The sequence below is a fragment of the Homo sapiens genome, chromosome 7 (genome assembly GCF_000001405.40).
Source record: "Homo sapiens chromosome 7, GRCh38.p14 Primary Assembly".
Classification (NCBI taxonomy): domain Eukaryota; kingdom Metazoa; phylum Chordata; class Mammalia; order Primates; family Hominidae; genus Homo; species Homo sapiens.
In genome coordinates this window covers 71,740,977-71,760,960 of record NC_000007.14, presented here as the reverse complement: position 1 = coordinate 71,760,960, position 19,984 = coordinate 71,740,977, and the positions used below count along the sequence as shown (strand labels likewise).

Genomic DNA, 19,984 nt, shown 5'->3' with positions numbered 1-19,984 from the left:
ATCAAAAAGTGTTATAAGAGCTAATGAAGCTCATTGTGTAATAATAAAAGGATTAATCCATCAAGAGGTTATACTAATTTTAAATATATATGTACTCAACACTGGAACACAAAAATATATAAAGCAAATATTAATAGAACTGAAGAAAGAAAGAGACAACAATACAATAATAGTAGGGAACTGTAAACAATGAATAGACCATCCAGACTGAAAATTCTGTAGGGAAACAACAGATTTGAATACACTACATACCAAGTGGACCAAACAGACATGTACAGAACATTTCATACAATAGCAGCAGACTACACATTTTTATTAAGTGTACACAGACCATCTCTGGTATAGATCGTATGTTGAGCACGAAACAAATCTTAACAAATTTAAGAGGAGTGAAATTATATCAACTATCTTTTTTGATATGAAACTAAAAGTCAATGTCAAGAGAAAAATTTGAATTTTCACAAATATGTGTAAACAACATGTTCCAGGACAACAAATGGGTTAAAGAAGAAAGCAAAGGGTAAATCAAAGAATACTTTCAGACAAATGAAAATTGAAACACAACATGCCAACTTATGGGATGTAGCAAAATAAGTTCGAAGAGGGGAGTTTATAGTGATAAACACCTATGTGAAAAAAAGAAAGCTCTAAAATACACAAATTTAAATCTCAAGGAATTAGAAAAATAAGAACATAGTAAGCCTGAAGTCAGCAGAAGGAAGGAAATAAAAATTAAAGCAGCAATAAATGAAACAGAGACTACAAGAACAAAAGTTTAATAAAAGTAAAAAGTCAAGTTTTAAAAAAAAGATAAACAAAACTGGCAAATTTTAATTAGAATTACCAAGGAAAAAGAGAGAAAACACAAATTTAACAATTAGAAATGAGGCCAGGCACAGTGGCTCACGCCTATAATCCTAGCACTTTGGGAGGACAAGGTGGGCAGATCACTCGAGGTCAGGAGTTCGAAGCCAGCCTGGCCAACATGGGGAAATCCCATCTCTATTAAAACAAAACAAACCAAAACAAAAAAATAGCTAGGTGTGGTGGCAGGCACTTGTAATCCCAGATACTCAGGAGGCTGAGGCAGGAGAAGGAGGATTGCTTGAACCCAGGAGGCAGAGGTTGCAGTGAGCCGAGATCACACCACTGCACTCCAGCCTGGGTGACAGAGCAAGACTCCAGCTCAAAAAAAAAGGAAAATTATAATTGAGAGAAGAGACACTACAACTTATGCCACAGTAATACAAAGGATTATAAGAGACTACTATAAATAATTATATACCAACAAATTGGATAACCTAGAAGAAACAGATAAACTCTTAGAAACATACAACCTACAAAGACTGAATCATAAAGAAATAGAAAACAGACCAATAATGAATAAGGAGATTGAATCAGTCATCAGAATATCCCAAAAAAGAAAAGCACAGAGTCAGATGTATTTACTTGTGAATTCTACCAAACATTTAAAATAGAATTAATGTCAACCCTTTTCAAATTCTTTCAACAAATTGAAGATGAGGGTACACTTATAAATTCATTTTATAAGGCCAGTATTACCCTGATACTAAAACCAGAAAGAACACTGTAAGAAAAGAAAATTACAGTCAAAATCCTCAACAAAATACTAGCCATCTGAACTCAATAACACATCAAAAAGATCATACACCACAATGAAATGGGATATATCCCTGGCATGCAAGGGTGATTCAACATATATAAATCAGTACTAAGATATGCCCATTAACAGAGTGAAGAATAAAAATCAGATCACCTCACCCCTGTAATCCCAGCACTTTGGGAGGCTGAAGCGGGCAGATCATGAGGTCAGGAGATCAAGACCATCCCGGATAACACTGTGAAACCCCATCTTTACTAAAAATACAAAAAATTAGCCAGACATGGTGGGTCATGCCTGTAGTCCCAGCTACTTGGGAGGCTGGGGCAGGAGAATTGCTTGAACCCGGGAGGCAGAGGCTGCAGTGAGACGAGATCGCACCACTGCACTCCAACCTGGGTGACAGAGTGAGACTCTGTCAAAAAAAAAAAAAAATTCAGATCATTATCTCAATACTGGCAAAAAAAAAAAATTGACAAAATTTGACAACATTTTTTAATGGTAAAAAAAAATTCTCTATAAATTAGGTACAGAAGGAATGTGCCTCGACATAGTAAAGCCCATGTATGATGAACCCACAGATAATATCATCCTCAATGGTGAATAGTTGAAGGCTTTCCCTCTAACATCAGTAACAAGACAAGGATTCCCACCCTTACCACTTTTGTTCAACATGGTATTGTAAGTTCTAGCCTGAGTAATTAAGTAAGAAAATATATAAAAGGTATCTGAGTCATGGAGAAAGAAGTAAAATGGTATGTGTTTGCAGACAACATAATCTCATATATAGAAAACCTAGATACACCACCACAAACCTGTTAGAACAAATAAGCAAATTTAGTAAAGTTGCAGGATTCAAAATTTACATGCAAAAATCAGTTGTGTTTCCATACACTAAGAACAAACTACCTAGAAAAAGAAATTTTAAACTTTCTATTTACAATAGTATCAAAAACAATACAATATTTAGGAATAAATTTAACCAAGGAAGTGAAAGATCTGTACACCAGAAACTATGTATGACATTTATGAAAGAAATTGAAGAAGGCACAAATAAATGGAAAGCCATCCTTTGTACATGCACTGGAAGAATTAATATTGTGAAAATGTCCATACTACCCAAAGTGATCTACATATTCCATGTAATCCCCATCAAAATTCCAATGAAATATTTTGCAGAAATAAAAAATTAATTCTAAAATTTGTATAGAACTACAAAAGACCCAAATAAACTAAAACAATCTTGAGAAAAAAAGCTGAAGGCATCATACTACCTGATTTCAAAATATATTACAAAGCTTTACTAACCAAAATAGCATGGCACTGGCATAAAAATAGATGCAATAACCAATGAAACAGAACAGAGAGCCCAGAAATAAACCTACACATTTATAATCAATTAATTTTCAACAGAGGTGCCCAAAACACACAGTGAGTAAAGGACAGTTTTCAATACGTGGCGTTGAGAAAATGGAATTTTCACATGCAGAATGAAATTGGACCCTCATATCACAATACATACGAAAATCAACTCAAAATCAATTAAATCAATTAAAGACTTGAATATGAGACCTAAAACTTTAAAACTACTTGAAGAAAAACATAGATAAATAGCTCCATGACATTGGCCTGGGCAATGATTTTTGGATATGACCCTCAAAGCACAGGCAACGAAAGCAAAAATAGACAAATAGGACTGCATCAAACTAAAAAAGCTTCTGCACAGCGAAGGAAACAACAGAGGGAAGAGACAACCTGTGGATTGGGACAAAATATTTGAATAACATACAGTTGTTTATGGGTTCATATCCAAAATATATAAGGAACTCAAACGATTCAATAGCCAAAGACAGAAAACCTCCCCAAACCAAAGAAAAATCCAAAATAACCTCGTTTTTTAACGGACAAAGACCTAAATAAACATTTCTCCAAAGAAGACATACAAATGGCCAACAGGTGTATGAAAATGTGCTCAATATCACTAATCATCAGATAAATGTAAATAAAAGCTACAATGAGATATGTATTAGTCCGTTTTCACGTTACTGATAAAGACATACCCAAGACTGCGTAATGTATAAAGAAAAAGAGGTTTAATGGACTTACAGTTCCACATGGCTGGGGAGGCCTCACAATCATGGTGGAAGGTGAAAGACCCGTCTTACATGGTAGCAGGCAAGAGAGAGAATGAGAGCCAAGCAAAAGGGGAAACCCTTTATAAAGTCGTCAGATCTCGTGAGACTTATTCACTACCTCGAGAACAGTATGGGGGAAACCACCCCCATGATTCAATTACCTCCCACTGGGTCCCTCCCACAACACGTGAGAATTATGGGAGCTACAATTCAAGATGAGATTTGTGTGGGGACATGGCCAAACTGTATCAAGATATGACCTCATACCTGTTAGATTGGTTATTTTCAAAAGCAAAACAACAAGTGTTGGCAAGTATGTGGGGAAAAAGGTACCCTTGCATAATGTTGGTGAGAATGTAAATTAGTCCAGCCATTTTGGAAAACATTATGGAGACTCCTCAAAAAATTAAAAATATAGTAACCATATGATCCAGCACTTCTGGGTATATATCCAGAGGAAATGAAATCAGTGTCTCACAGAGATATCTTCACTCTATGTTCACTGCTGCATTATTCACAATATCCAAAATATGGAAACAACATGAGTGTCCATTGATGGACGAATGGATAAAATGTGCAGTACATACACAATGAAATATTGTTCCGCCATACAAAAGAATGGAAGCCTGGCATTAGTGATAACATGAATGAACCCGGAAAACCTTATATTAAGTGAAATAAGCCAGACACAGAAAGAAAAATACTATATGACCTCACTTATATGTGGAATCTAAAATAGTCAGACTGATAAAAGCAGAGAGTAGAATGGTGGTTGCCAGGGGCTGTGTGTCGGGGAAATAGGGAGATACAGGTCAAAGCATACAAAGTTTCAGCTATGCAGGATGAACAGATTCTGGAGAACTAGTGGTTAGCATGTTGACTCTAGTTAATAATACTGGATTGTACACTGGAAGTTTGCTGAAAGAGTAAATAAGTCTTAAGTGTTCTCACACACACACACAAACTATATGAGGTGATGAATATGTCTATTAGCTTGATTGTGGTGATAATTTTACAATATCTACATATATCAAACATCACATTGTATACTTCAATGTGTACAATTTTTATTTGTCAATTGTACCTGAGTAAATCTGGGGAGAAAGAGTTGCTAAAACTTTTCCAAATTTGATGAAAACTATAAACCATAGATTCGAGAAGCTCAGTGAATCCCAAACACAAGAAACATGAAGGATTTTGCACTAAGTTGCTTAAATCAAGCAATAAAGATTAAAAAAATTCAACATCCAGGGGGAAAAAAGACATTATAGGCCAGGTGTGGTGGCTCACGCCTATAATCTCAGCACTTTGGGAGGCCAAGGTGGGCAGATCACCTGAGGTCAGGAGTTCAAGACCAGCCTGGCCAATGTGGCAAAACCTCGTCTCTACTAAAAATACAAAAACTAGCTGGGCGTGGTGGCATGCGCCTGTAGTCCCAGCTGCTCGAGAGGCTGAGGCAGGAGAATTGCTTGAACCTAGGAGGTGGAGGCTGCAGTGAGCTGAGATCGCACCACTGCACTCCAGCCTGGGTGACAGAGCAAGACTCTATCTCAAAAAAATAAAATAAAATAAAAAGACATTATACACAAAGAACCAGAGAAAAGAATGACTGAAGACATCAGGAATCAGTCTAGAAAATAGTGGTGTAATTTCTTTAAAAGACTGAGAACAAAGTATCAACCTAGATTTTTACCCAGTTAAAAAAATCACAATCATGGCGGGAGATGAAGGAGGAGCAAAGGCACTTCTTACATGGTGGCAGGCAAAAAGAGTGTGTGCAGGACAACTCCCCTTTATGAAACCATCAGATCCTGTGAGACTTATTTACTATCACAAGAATAGCATGATTTAATTACCTCCCACCAGGTCCCTCCCACATCACATGGGGATTATGGGAGCTACAATTCAATATGAGATTTGGGTGGGGACATAGCCAAACCATATCACCCAGAGAGAAGTACTGAGCTCAAGGTTATGCACCAAGCAGTTAATGGCAGAACTAGGACAGGAACCAGGTCCCCAAGCCCTGGCCTTGCCTCTTACCCACAGTGCACAACTTTCCCTCTCAGCCTCCAGACAGCCACAGAATCTCACAGTTCCCAGAATGAGTCTGAGTCCGGCTTCAGCCCAGGCAATGAAGATACTGATGTGTTTGCTCCATGCATGGGCCCTGGAATGTCCTCGTGAGGGACTTTTCCCTTTGTGGGACTCATCACCCCACAGGGCTTAGCTGCGGGGTTCTGGTTGCCACTTCAGGCTGAGGACTGAGAGAGGGAGAAGGAACTTATCCTGGAGAAGGAAGGGTCTCAAGAGAACGTGGAAGTTGCTGGGCACAGTGGCTCATGCCTGTAATCCCAGCACTTTGGGAGGTCAAGACAGGCAGATCACTTGAGCTCAGGGGTTCAAGACCAGCCTTGGCAACATGGTGAAACCCGGTCTCTACTAAAAATACAAGAAATCCTCTGGGCGTGGTGGTGCATGCCTGTAGTTCCAGCTATTCGGGAGGCTGAAATGGGAGGATCGCTTGATCCCAGGAGGCAGAGGTTGCAGTGAGCCGAGACTGCACCACTGAACTTCAGCCTGGGTGACAGAGTGAGACCCTGTCTCAGAGAGAGAGAGAGAGAGAGAGAGAGAGAGAGGAACGAAAGAGAACACAGAAGCTAGGGAGAAAGGCTGAGGCAGGAAAGCAATTCCAGATGGTGGAAGCTGCCAGACCGGGAGGAGGGGGAGGAGGGGAGGGGAGGGGAGAAGCAGGCAGGAAGTGGTCGAAGTAAGGGGCATAGAGGCAGGGAGAGAGAGAGAAACCCCTTTCCTCTCCTTCTAATGCCCATTGTCTACCTAGGGCTGCAGAGGGTTTCAAGGGACCCATAAGCCTTTGAGGGGGCTGTCTGAAAATACCACCCCAAACCTTTGTCCCTGCCTGCTATTCCAACATCAGAGATAAGCTGAGTGGCGAAATTCACGGTTTCCAGGGGTCTCCTAGGAACATGCAAATCATTCAGAGCAGGAATATGATGCCAGAGGTTCCTAACCCTGGCTGCACATTTGAATCATCTGGGGAACTTTTAAAAAATACTGCTGCAACGCTCCACCGCAGACCGATTACTTCTCAATGAGGAGGGGGAGGAAAGTGCCCAGGCCATAATATTTTAAGGCTCCCCAGGCAGTTTTAATGTTTGAGCCAGGGAAATGTGAGAGCCTGGACTGTTTGACTATTTGAAATGTCAGAGCAGAAAAGTACTTAGAAGTCACAGAAGGCTTTTTAGCAGATGGGGAAACTGAGGCCTGGGGACAGGTGCACCCTGGGGAATCTGTGGCAGAGGCCAAGCTGGAAGGCTGCTGCTTCTTCCATCAAGGCTTCCTCTAGAAGCTCCGAGAACAGTGTGGAGGAAAGAGAATAGAGAGGAATTAGGTAGAGGAGAGGAGCAGGCATGAGACATGTGGGGGCGAGACCATGCATTCAAAGGCCAGTGGTTGTCTGCTGTGGTGATGTGCGTCTGAATCTCAGCTACTCTGCTGGCTAAGGCAGGATGATTCCTTCAATCCAGGAGTTTGAATCCTGTCTGGGCAATGGGTAACATGGCAAGACCCCATCAAGAAAGAAAGAGAGAAAGGAAAGAAAATGTAAGAAGAAAGAAAGAAAGAAAGCGAAAAAAAAAAGAGAAAGAAAGAAAGAAAGGAAAGAGAAAAAATAAAGAGAAGACAGAGACAGAGAGAGAGAAAGGAAAGGGGGAGAAAGAAAGGGAAAGAAAAAGAGAAAGGAAAGAAAGAAAAGAAAATGAAAATAAAGAAAGAATAGAAAGAAAAGAAGAGAAGGAAAGAAAAGACGAAGAAAAGAAAAAGAAAGAGAAGGAAAGGAAAGGAAGGAAGGAAGGAAGGAAGGAAAAAAAAGAGAAAGAAGCTGGGGATGGTGGTGTGCACCTGTAGTCCCAGCTACTAGGGAGGCTAAGGTAGGGGGATTGCTTGAGCCTAGGAGTTCAAGTCCAGCCTGGGCAACACGGCAAGACCCCATTTCTAACATAAACAAACAAAATTTAAAATGCCAGTGGTTGGCACTAAGGAGAGGGCCCAGGGATGATGATCTTGACAAAAGTTAGGTTTTTGACAGAGACAGAGACATCCTCCATTTCTCCCCCTTCCTGCCCTCCCATTTCTCCCTTGCTTTTTTTATTTCTTCTTTCCCTTTTCTCCTTAGATCGGCTTTATTTTCATAGATATTTTTCCCTAGCAATCTAGAAAATCCTATCCTAAAATTAAGACTTTGCAGGTGAGGTCTGAACTGCAGAAAGATGGGTGACTTGCCCTGGCTACCACAGCTGCCCCTTCTCAGGACTGGCCGAGCTGGAGGTGCACCCCCCGGCCCCCCGAACGGTTCTTCTGCTGGCACTACCTCTCAGGCTTGCTGATTGGCAGTCAAGGAGGCCGCCGGGCTAATGGAGAGGCTCCCCATTGCTGGACACTTGCTTTCCCGGTCCTCGGAAGGGTGAGAGCAGCTTCCGGGGTGGCAGTGACCCCGGGTGTCTGTTGGCACAGACTCCTTTCCACACCAACAGCCTGGACACATCAGGCCCCGGGGATGAACTCCTAGTTCTCCCAGGTGTCTTACGCGTTGGCAGAGAGCTTGCAAGAAATGCCCGGGGTGTAGCAGGGAGGGCTGCAAGGAGGAGGAGGCGCTGCAGCCAGCCCAGCTCACCTTGCAGACGGAAGCCCTCCTGCAGAGCAGCAGGCGACCTCTCCCTCCTCCAGCAGGTGACCTAGGTTCGGAGCGGCCCAGGCACCGCCGCTCCTATTGCTGTGACCACAGTGTCCTGAGCTGGGGAGCAGACAGGGCAGGAGGCAGCGGAGAGCTGGGTGCAAGTGCAGAGGCGCGCGCTCCCCCGCCGGCCTGGGCCGCCTCCCTCGCCGGGCACCGAGCGCCCTCTAGCGTCAAAACGCCCTCCAACCCGCCGGCTCCCCACACCTGCCTGTCCCGAGCCGAGCCGGGGCCGCCAGGTCCCCGCCGCCAAGCTCAGCGCTTGGAGCCACAGGGGGGATGCCAGCATCTCCGCCACACGGGACGAGTCTCGGCCCATCACTGAGCTGCTGCGGCCATTGCATTTTGCTGTTGTATTGCACTTCCTTGGACCCGGTGCTGCGAAACGTTTTATCTTCTGCATTTAATAAAATAACATTGAACGTTTTTCCTTTTGGAAAAAAAAAATCAGAATTCCAGGTACAGTGAGGTCGGCTGAGGCAACACGTATGACTACAGGGCTGCGTTAATAATTTTGCAGCCAAAACCAAAGAAAGGTGACCTTTGCACCTCACTAGGATACAATATATCCATGTAACGAACCTGCACATGCTGCCCCTGAGTCTAAAATAAAATAAAATAAAATTTAAAAAGAGAAAGGTGACCTTGGCTAGCCTCTGCTACAGCCAGCATCGTAGAATGTACCTTATCCCCTCACACCTGTGTGTACCAAGGACAGGGCCACGTCCTCCGCCATCCAACACTGCCCACTGTAACTGCCCTAGAAATACCATTCTGCCTATTCTTTTCTTTTCTTTTTTATTTTATTTTGCTTTAAATTCCAGGATACATGTGCAAAACGTGCAGGTTTGTTACATAGGTAAATGTACACCATGGTGGTTTGCTGCACCTATCAACCCATCACCTAGGTAATAAGCCCAGCATGCACTAGCTATTTATTCTGATGCTCTCCCCTCCCTCGCCCCCACCCCCAACAGGGCCCGGTGTGTGTTGTTCCTCTCCCTGTGTCCATGTGTTCTCATTGTTCAGCTCCTACTTATGAGTAAGAACATGCGGAGTTTGGTTTTCTGTTTCTGCGTTAGTTTGCTGAGGATGATGGCATCCAGCTTCATCCATGTCCCTGCAAATGACATGATCTTGTTCCTTTTTATGGCTCCATAGTATTCCATGGTGTGTATATGTACCACATTTTCTTTATCCAGTCTATCATTGATGGGCATTTGGGTTGGTTCCATGTCTTTGCTATTGTGAATAGTGCTGCAATAAACATACGTGTGCATGTATCTTTATAATAGAATGATTTATATTCCTTTGGGTGCATACCCAGTAATGGGATTGCTGGATCAAATGGTATTTCTGGCTCTAGATCCTTGAGGAATTGCCACACTGCCTTCCACAATGGTTGAACTAAGTTACACTCCCACCAGCAGTGTAAAGTGTTCCTATTTCTCCACAGCCTCCCCAGCATCTGTTGTTTCTTGACTTTTGTTTTGTTTTGTTTTGTTTTTGAAATGGAGCCTGGTACTGTTGCCTGGGCTAGAGTAAAATGGCATGATCTCAGCTCACTGCAACCTCCTCCTCTCGGGTTCAAGCGATTCTCCTGCCTCAGCCTCCCAAGTAGCTGGTATTACAGGTGTGTGCCACCATGTCTGGCTAATTTTTGTATTTTCAGTAGAGATGGGGTTTCACCATATTGGCCAGGCTGGTCTCGAACTCCCGACCTCATGATCCGCCTGCCTCAGCCTCCCGAAGTGATGGGATTACAGGCGTGAGCCACTGCGCCCGGCTTTGACTTTTTAACAATCGCCATTCTGACTGAATCCTGCCTGTTTCTTCTCCAAGCAAACCTCCATGGCAGAGGTGAACCCAGGTTCTGCCTGTCCCCAGATCCTAGCCTTAGCCTGTCTTTCTCTCTGGTCTTAGTGTCCTTACCTGGTACAGGAAGCTCAAAGCTCCTGGCTTGCTTACATCATTAAAATGCCACATTATGAAGACTCAGTGAAAGCATGTGAATGAGTTTATTACCTGTTAGGGTATGTAAGAAACTGTGGTTGTTGCCTGCTTCCGGGCTCCCGGTATCACTCTCTATCTTAATGAACCCTCAGTCCCCTACTGATTTGATCTCTGCCTTCATCTAAGGGATTTGGACACTCAAAGAAAGCCCTAGGAGGATGGTTCCTCGAGAAGGCTAAATTGCAACCTCAGTGGTCCTCAAAGCTGAGTGCATCCTAATCACCTGCAGGGCTTGTTAAAACAGATTGAGGCCAGGTGTGGTGGCTCACACCTGTAATCCCAGTGGTTTGGGAGGCCAAGGCAGGAGGACTGCTTAAGGTCGGGATTTGAGACCAGCCTGAGTAACACAGTGAAAGCTCAGCTCTACAAAAACAAAAAAATATTCAGGTGCGGTGATGTGTACCTGTATTCCCAGCTACTTGGGACGCTGAGGCGGGAGGATCACTTGAGCCCAGGATTTGGAGGCTGCAGTGAAGTATGATTGTACCACTGCACTCTAGCCTGGGTGATAGAATGAAACCTTGTCTCTAAAAAACAAAACAAAAACAAGCAAAAACGCAGATGGCTGAGCCCACTCCAGAGTCTCGGATTCAGTGGGTCTGAGGTGAAGCCTGAGAATTTGCATTTCTAACATGTTTCCAGGTTACTCTGAAACCCTCCCTATACACTTTATAAAATTAGTCAGGGAAGAAATGAAGATAAACCAAGCTTACAGCACATTCAGCGTTCATCATAAAGGCAGTTTGCTCTCTGACCTGCTTCTTCATAGCTGTTTCCTGTCATAAGATTATAGTTCCCCCTAACTGCTCTATAGATAACAACTTAAGCTTTGTGAAATGTTAAGTTTTCCCTCTGAGATACTCTTTCAGGTCCTGCGTACCAGTGAAACTACTGACATCAGCTGGTCTGAAGGACTCCACAAGGAGCCGACTCACCAAAGAATGAATTTTCCACAGCCTGATGATATTATTCCCGCTTTCCTTGACCAATCAACAACCCCAATTCTCCAGCCCCTTGCCTTTCATGATTCCCTTAAAATCTCAAGCCCAGAACTCCTTGGGGAGATGGATTTGAGGGTTCTTCCTGTCTCCTCACTCGGCTTCTCTGCACTCATTAAACTCTTTCTCTGCTGCAAACTCTGCTGTCTCCATGTAATTGGTCTGTTGCTGTCCAGTGGGCCTATGACCCTAGTGGTCCTGTAGCAGTTCTGATGTTGCAGCTCCTGGGACCACACTTGGAAAACCTCCAAGTTATCTGTGGGATTTTGAGTACCAGCAGTACCTAAATGATAAGAAAAATTAGAACAATTTTCCTGAATTTTTTAAATAGCCTTGCACCAGCCACATTTCATTGTCCAGTAGCACAGGGAATCAAATGAGAACAATATAAGCCACTCAAAGCTAGATTCTGAAGAACCTTGAGAGGGTGGATCTCCCTCAAGCACTTTCCATACCACCCTCCCTCAACTTCAATGAGAGCACTCGTGAAGCCTACAGACCCTGGAAACCCTGATAGACAAGGACTAAGTGATTAAATCACATAAGGGAATAAACGTGAGTTGTGCAACACCAGGTGCCCTGGGGAGGCTGGCTGTGAGAGGCAGAGACTCTGTTGGCATCTCTGGGTCTTTGTTCCCAAGGAATGGATGCAGATCTGCCTGCAGGAAAGTGCCAGCACTAAGACACCAGGTACATTTTGTTTGTTTGTTTGTTTGTTTGTTTTTTGAGATGGAGTCTTGCTCTGTCACCCAGGCTGGAGTGCAGTGGCATGATCCTGGCTCACTGCAACCTCTGTCTCCCAAGTTCAAGCAATTCTCCTGCCTCAGCCTCCTGAGTAGCTGGGATTACAGGCTTGCGTCACCATGCCCGGCTAATTTTGCATTTTTAGTAGAGATGGGTTTCACCATGTTGGTTAGGCTGGTCTCAAACTCCTGACCTCAGATGATCTGCCCACCTTCACCTCCCAAAGTGCTGGGATTACAGGTGTGACCCACTGCGCCCCGCCTGTTTGTAAGCTCTCTTAATAAATCACCGAATACCAACAGACTGAATTTGTCTGCCTCATTTTTTGGTTTCCTTGCTTTTTTGGCATTTGTGGGCTGCTTTGTATATACAGTCCTTTCGCAGACATATCTATCCATGCATCCATCCATCCATTTCATTTGTTCTGTTTCACTGGAAAGCTAGACTAATACATCTGCTATCAGGATGCTGTGCTTCACGCTGACTGGAGATTAAGGCTTCGAGGGTCAAGGACATGCCCTGTTGTGTATGCCACCAAAGCCAGACCAAAATCATTGCAAGCAGGGAGATTGCCTAAGTAGCCAAGTTGGAGGACAAAGGAAATTGCACTTGCTCTTGTCCCACCCCTACCTTGCACAGCACTCATGCCCACACAATTTACACACTCCTAGAACTATCTCCACCCAAAATGGTATTACCTCTCATTGGTTCTTTTTTTTTTTTTTTTGCCAGGTCTCCCAGATTTTTATTATTTCAGACAATTGTTGCAGCATGCGAAATTTTTAAAATTACAATTTACTTATTTTGAGTCTTATCTCTTCCTGCATGTTGTTCATGCTCTCCACTGCATTAATCTTCATCTATTTACATTTCAGTCAACCTGTTTATCTGTTGTTAATCCATCTTCTGGCTGATTCCTGTCAATCTCAGCCTACAATAGCTCACTGGGAATATATTACATAAAAGTCATCAAGGGCAGGAGAGAGAGAATGGTATTCTGATTTTGATCTTTACTCAGAATTCTCAATGACTTTCCCTCTGTGATAGCAGCAGATGTTCCCAAAGTTAGTTATTGAAAATGACAGTCTCAGTTTCCCGTTTTTCACTCTTGACTCTCAAAAATGGATACCAGCTACTTAGTATGTCACTGTGTTTTAGCTTCTTAAAGATTCATGTTAAAACTATTCATTGTTTTTCAGACTAAGTGATTGTAGTTTCTTTAACTTTTTCTTTTTTTTTTTATTATTTTTTTTTTATTTTTAATTTTTTTTTTTTTATTATACTCTAAGTTTTAGGGTACATGTGCACATTGTGCAGGTTAGTTACATATGTATACATGTGCCATGCTGGTGCGCTGCACCCACTAACGTGTCATCTAGCATTAGGTATATCTCCCAATGCTATCCCTCCCCCCTCCCCCGACCCCACCACAGTCCCCAGAATGTGATATTCCCCTTCCTGTGTCCATGTGATCTCATTGTTCAATTCCCACCTATGAGTGAGAATATGCAGTGTTTGGTTTTTTGTTCTTGCGATAGTTTACTGAGAATGATGGTTTCCAATTTCATCCATGTCCCTATAAATCATGCTGCTATAAAGACACATGCACACGTATGTTTATTGCGGCACTATTCACAATAGCAAAGACTTGGAACCAACCCAAATGTCCAACGATGATAGACTGGATTAAGAAAATGTGGCACATATACACCATGGAATACTATGCAGCCATAAAAAATGATGAGTTCATGTCCTTTGTAGGGTTCTTTTTTTTTTTTTTTTTCCTGTTGCCCAGGCTGGAGTGCCTGGTGCCATCTCAGCTTACTGCAACCTCTGCCTCCCAGGTTCAAGCTATTCTCCCACTTCAGCCTCCTGAGTAGCTGGAATTACAGGCGTGTGCTTCCATGCCTGGCTAATTTTTGTATTTTTATTAGGGACAGGGTTTCTCCATGTTGGCCAGGCTAACCCCAAACTATCTCAGGTCCACCTGCCTCAGCCTCCCAAAGTGCTGGGATTAAAGGTGTGAGCCACCACATCAGGCCTGGTTCTTACTAGCTTATGCTAGGTTAGTTGCATAGGCATTACCAGCAGAACTTGAAGAAAGCAAAGGTGCCCAGGCTTGGAAGGTTCTGGTTTAATAGGGCTGGAGTGAGGCTCCAGGAATCTAAATTTTTAAGAGCTCCCCAGGTTCAAAAACGAAATCTGCTGGTGACTCCATGAGCCTGTAACTGATTCAGATTCAGCTACTAACTGCTTCAAAGCCAAAACTTGAGAGGCAAGGGTTGGTGGGAGGAAAAGCAGGTTTATTCAGGAGCCGATAACCTAAGGGGATGGCAGACTTGCATTGCAAAGGCCATCTCCCCTTTCTTGGGCTGGCTGAAGAGGTTTTAAAGGGAGGCAGTTAGGCAAACTTTGTATAGAAGTTGCCTACATGCAAGTCAGCATGTCTTTTTCCAGTGATTATCTTGAGTAATGGGCCATCTGGTGGCCCAGCTGGTATCAGCTAGACTGCAGCAAGATTGAAGATGAACTCCTCAGCATTTTTCTAGGGGTGGACCTTTCACAGCCTTGGTTTTACTTCGAGGCTAGTTCTTGGAGTTTTTAAAACCCTAAGCAAGCATGCAGTTAGGCATTACGTACTTGTCTGTTTTCACGATGCTGATAAAGACATATCCGAGGCTGGGTAATTTATAAGGAAGCAGAGATTTAATGGTCTCACAGTTCCACATGGCTGGGGAGGCCTCATAATCATGGCAGAAGACGAAGGGCATGTCTTACATGGCAGCAGGCAGGAGAGAGAATGAGAGCGCCAAGGAAAAGGGGAAACCCCTTTATATATAAAACCATCGGATCTCATGATACTTACTCACTACCAGGAGAAGAGTATCGGGGAAACTACCCCCATGATTCAGTTATCTCCCACCGGGTCCCTCCCACAACACGTGGGAATTGTGGGAGCTACATTTCAAGGTGAGATTTGGGTGGGGACACAGCCAAACCATACCACATTATAAAGGAAAGAATGACTATTTACTTCTAGCAAGGGAATGACTGCCTAGGTTACAAGCCAAGTAAAAGGCACTGGCAAGCCTTCCCCACCTGGAGCTCCCCCCACCTCCACACCACACCACTGTTAAATTTTATTATTTTTCTTCTGTTTTTAATCCTTACTTTTTGTGGGTACATAGTATGTGTATGAATTCCCACCCGGAGTTTTGAAACAACTTGGTTTTATGCTCAAACTAATTTTGTTATTATTATTTTTTTGTTTCTGCAAGTCCTAGCCAGAGCGATCAGGCAAGAGAAAGAAATAAAAGTCATCCACATAGGAAAAGAAGAAGTCAAGTTAGCTCTCTTTGCTGATAATATGATTCTATACCTAGAAAACCCTAAAGACTCTTTGAAAGCCAAAAGGCTCCTAGAACTAATAAACAACTTCAGTAAAGTTTCAGGAGATAAAATCAATGTGCAAAATTCACTAGTATTTTTATACCCCAGTAGCATTCTAGCTGAGAGCCAAATGGAGAACAGAATCTCATTTACAATAACCACACCCAAAAAAAAAAAACCTAAGAGTACATCTAACCAAGGAGGTGAAAGGTGAATTATAAACACTGCTGAAATAGATCATAGATGACACAAACAAAGGAAAAATATTCCATGCTCATGGATTAGGAGACTCAAAATCATTAAAATAGTCATACTGTTCAAAGCATTTTATAGATTCAACACTATTCTTATCAAAGTACCAACATCATTTTTCACAGAACTAGAAAAAACAGTTCTAAAATAATTCATATGGAACCAAAAAAAGAGCCCTAATAGCCAAAGCAATCCTGAGCAAAAAGAAGAAAGCCAGAAAAATCACATTACCTGACTTCAAACTTTACTATGGGGCTACAGTAACCAAAACAGCATGGTACTAGTACAGAAAGAGACACACAGGCCAATGGAACAGAATAGAGAACTCAGAAATAAAGCCACACACCTACAGCCGTCTGATTTTCGACAAAGTCATCAGGAATAAGCAATAGGAAAAGGACTCCCTATTCAATAAATTGTGCTGGATAGCTGGATAGCCATATACAGAAGAATGAAACTGGACCCCTACCTTTATATATAAAATATATATATATATTTATACATACATATTTATATACATATATAAAAATTAACTCAAGATGGATCAAAGATATAAATGTAGCAGGGCATGGTGGCTCACGCCTGTAATCCCAGCACTTTGGGAGGCCGAGGCAGGCAGACGATTTGAGGTCAGGAGTTCGAGACCAGCCTGACCAACATGGTGAAACCCTGTCTCTACTAAAAATGCAAAAAAAATTAGTCGGGTGTGGTGGCACGTGCGTTTAGTCCCAGCTACTCGGGAGGCTGAGGCAGGAGAATTGCTTGAACCTGGGAGACAGAGGTTGCAGTGAGCCGAGATCGCGCCACTGCACTCCAGCCTGGGAGACAGAGCGAGACTCCGTAAAAAAAAAAAAAAAAAAAAAAAAAAGATGTAAATGTAAAACCTAAAACTATAAGAATCCTAGAAGAAAACTTAGAAAACACCATTTCACGTCAGCCTTGGGAAAGAATTCATGACTAAGTCCTCAAAAGCAATTGCAAGAGAAACAAAAAAAATGACAAGTGTGACCTAATTAAACTAAAGAGCTTCTGTACAGCATGTTCTCTGCACAGCAAAAGAAACTACCAACAGAGTAAACACAGAACCTACAGAATGGGAGAAAATATTCACAAGTAGGCACCCAACAAAGGTATAATATCCCAAATCTATAAAGAACTTAAACAGATTAAACTCTTGAACAAGCAAAAAACAAACAGCCCATTAAAAAATGGTAAAGGCCGGCCAGGTGCGGTGGCTCACGCCTGTAATCCCTGTACTTTGGGAGGCCGAGGCGGGCAGATGACTTGAGGTCGAGAGTTCGAGATCAGCCTGTCCAACATGGAGAAACCCCATCTCTACTAAAAAAAAAACAAAAAAAAACAAAAAAAAAAAAACAAAATTAGCCAGACGTGGTGGTGCAAGCCTGTAATCCCAGATACTCAGGAGGCTGAGGCAGGAGAATCACTTGAACCCGGGAGGTGGAGGTTGCAGTGAGCTGAGATCACACCATTGCACTCCAGCCTGGGCAAGAAGAGCAAAACTCCATCTAAAAAAAAAAAAAAAGGCTGAGCGTGGTGGCTCACGCCTGTAATCCCAGCACTTTGGGAGGCCGAGGCGGGTGGATCACGAGGTCAGGAGATGGAGACCATCCTGGCTAACATGGTGAAACCCCGTCTATACTAAAAATACAAAAAATTAGCCGGGCGTGGTGGCGGCGCCTGTAGTCCCAGCTACTTAGGAGGCTGAGGCAGGAGAATGGCGTGAACCCGGGAGGCGGAGCTTGCAGTGACCCCAGATTACGCCACTGCAGTCCAGCCTGGCGACAGAGAGAGACTCCATCTCAAAAAAAAAAAGGTAAAATACATGAACAGATACTTCCCAAAAGAAGACATACAAGTGGCCAAAAAACACATGAAAAGATGCTCAACATCACTAATCATCAGAGAAATGCAAATCAAAACTACCATGAAATAGCATCTCACACTGGTCAAAATGGCCATTATTAAAAAGTCAGATAATCACAGATGCTAGCAAGGCTTCAAAGAAAAACGTACGCTTCTACACTACTGGTGGGAATGTAAATTAGTTCAGCTACGGTGGAAAGCAGTTTGGGCATTTCTCAAAGAACTTAAAACTGAACTACCATTTGACTCAGCAATCCCATTACTGTGTATATAGTCAGAAGAAAATAAATCATTCTACCAAAAAGACACCTGCACTGGTATGCTTATCACAGCACTATTCACAATAGCAAAGACACGGAATCTACCTAGTTGCTCATCAGTGATGAATTGGATAAAGAAAATGTGGTACATATACACCATAATGGAATACTACACAGCCATAAAGAAGAACAAATTAATATCTTTTGCAGTCACGTGGATGCAGCTGGAGGCCATTATCCTAAGTGAATTAATGCAGGAAGAGAAAACCAAATACTGCATGTTCCCTTATAAGTGGGAGCTACTCTTATAAGTTCTCTTATAAGTGGGAGCTAAACTGTATGTTCTCTTGTAAGTGGGAGTTAAACACTGGGTACTTACAGGCATAACAATGGCAAAAATAGACACTGGGGACTACTAGAGGGGGAGGGAGGGAGGCAAACAAGGGTTGAAAAACCAATTGTTGGGTACTATGCTCAGTATCTGGGTGATGATATTATTTGTACCCCAAACCTCAGCATCATGTAATATGCCTAGTAACAAACCTGCACATGTACCCCCTGAATCTAAAATAAAAGCTAAAAATTATTTTTAAAATTTTGATTTTTAAAAAAACCTGTAGAGAGTTCAGTTGAGTGCCCATAAAGAAAAACATTCAAGAAAAGAGCTTTCTGGAAAGATTAGGAATTGGCACCGAGAGAGCTTTACTCTATGACAATCTCTGAATCTGTGGTTACAAGACCAAACCCAGCGATATGAATTTACGTACTGCAGTGAATGATAAATAGGCCACATTTTCATTCATAGCATTTAGCAGAGACTCATGGGGAAGAAGAGAAAGGAGGTGCGGAAAAGAAGGAAGGAAGGAAGGAAGGAAGGGAGGAAGGAAGGGAGGGAGTGAGGGAGGGAGGAGAGGGAGGGAAAAAAGGAGAATGTAATTGAAAAGATATTAACTTTCAAGCTGTCAGGGACTGTTACAAATATTTAAAGACAAACAAACAAGAAAACACTGTGTTTTACTCTGCCTTAACCAAACATGGAGAATCATGATGCCTGTTGGCATTTTCTGAACAATTTAAGATAGTGATTCAGGAAAATCATTATCTACAAGGGGAAGTTTTTGTTACTGAAGAATTTGAATTGTTTTGAGAAGAGATGCTTTATAGAATTTTTATTAGCTGTGTTTTAAAATATATACTTAATGTTACTTTTAACCACCTCCAGCTCCCAATCTGATGTTTCCTCTCAAGCCCTGATCTTGACAGCTATGGTTTTGCTGACAATAACAGTTTCAGACGAAGGAACTGGCAAGAGGTTTTTCAGTTTCTAAGATGGGACATCATTGATTTCTCTGTCCCCATCTTCAAAATTGTTGCTGTTCCATTTCCTCGACTAACAGACCATTTAGTTTTGTTTCTGTACCAATACTGATGGGGTATGGAGGAGATGAGACCTTTCTTGGTTTTTGTTGTTGTTTTAGCTTAATTTCCTCCCCTGAAAACCAACAGGCTTGGCCAAGATAGATAATCATCTCCAAGGCCCTTTTGCTGTCTAAATTGTGAGGGCTTTTTTTTTTTTCTTTTTTTCTCTTTAGACAGAGTTTCACTCTTGTTACCAAGCTGGAGCTCGATGGTGCGATCTCGGCTCACTGCAATCTCTGCCTCCCAGGTTCAAGCAAGTCTCCTGCCTCAGCCTCCAGAGTAGCTGGGATTACAGGTGTACACCACCACACCTGGCTAATTTTGTATTTTTAGTAGAGATGGGGTTTCACCATGTTGGCCAGGCTGGTCTTGAACTCCTAACCTCCAGTAGTCCACCCACCTCGGCCTCCCAAAGTGCTTGGATTACAGGCGTGAGCCACCACACCCTGCCTAGGGCGTCTTTAAAGTTGGCCAACAGCACTAGCTGCTGGATCAAAATGAGAAAATTTGTGTTT

At 42.6% G+C, this 19,984-nt stretch overlaps 2 annotated features.

Annotated features, from left to right (window-relative positions):
• Window positions 8,557–8,626: a silencer, noted in NCBI's record as "silent region_18237". NCBI's record gives its function as "represses an Ori minimal core promoter by ATAC-STARR-seq in GM12878 lymphoblastoid cells {active_cell/tissue: GM12878}" and the evidence as "EXISTENCE:reporter gene assay evidence [ECO:0000049][PMID:35858748]".
• Window positions 8,667–8,746: a silencer, noted in NCBI's record as "silent region_18236". NCBI's record gives its function as "represses an Ori minimal core promoter by ATAC-STARR-seq in GM12878 lymphoblastoid cells {active_cell/tissue: GM12878}" and the evidence as "EXISTENCE:reporter gene assay evidence [ECO:0000049][PMID:35858748]".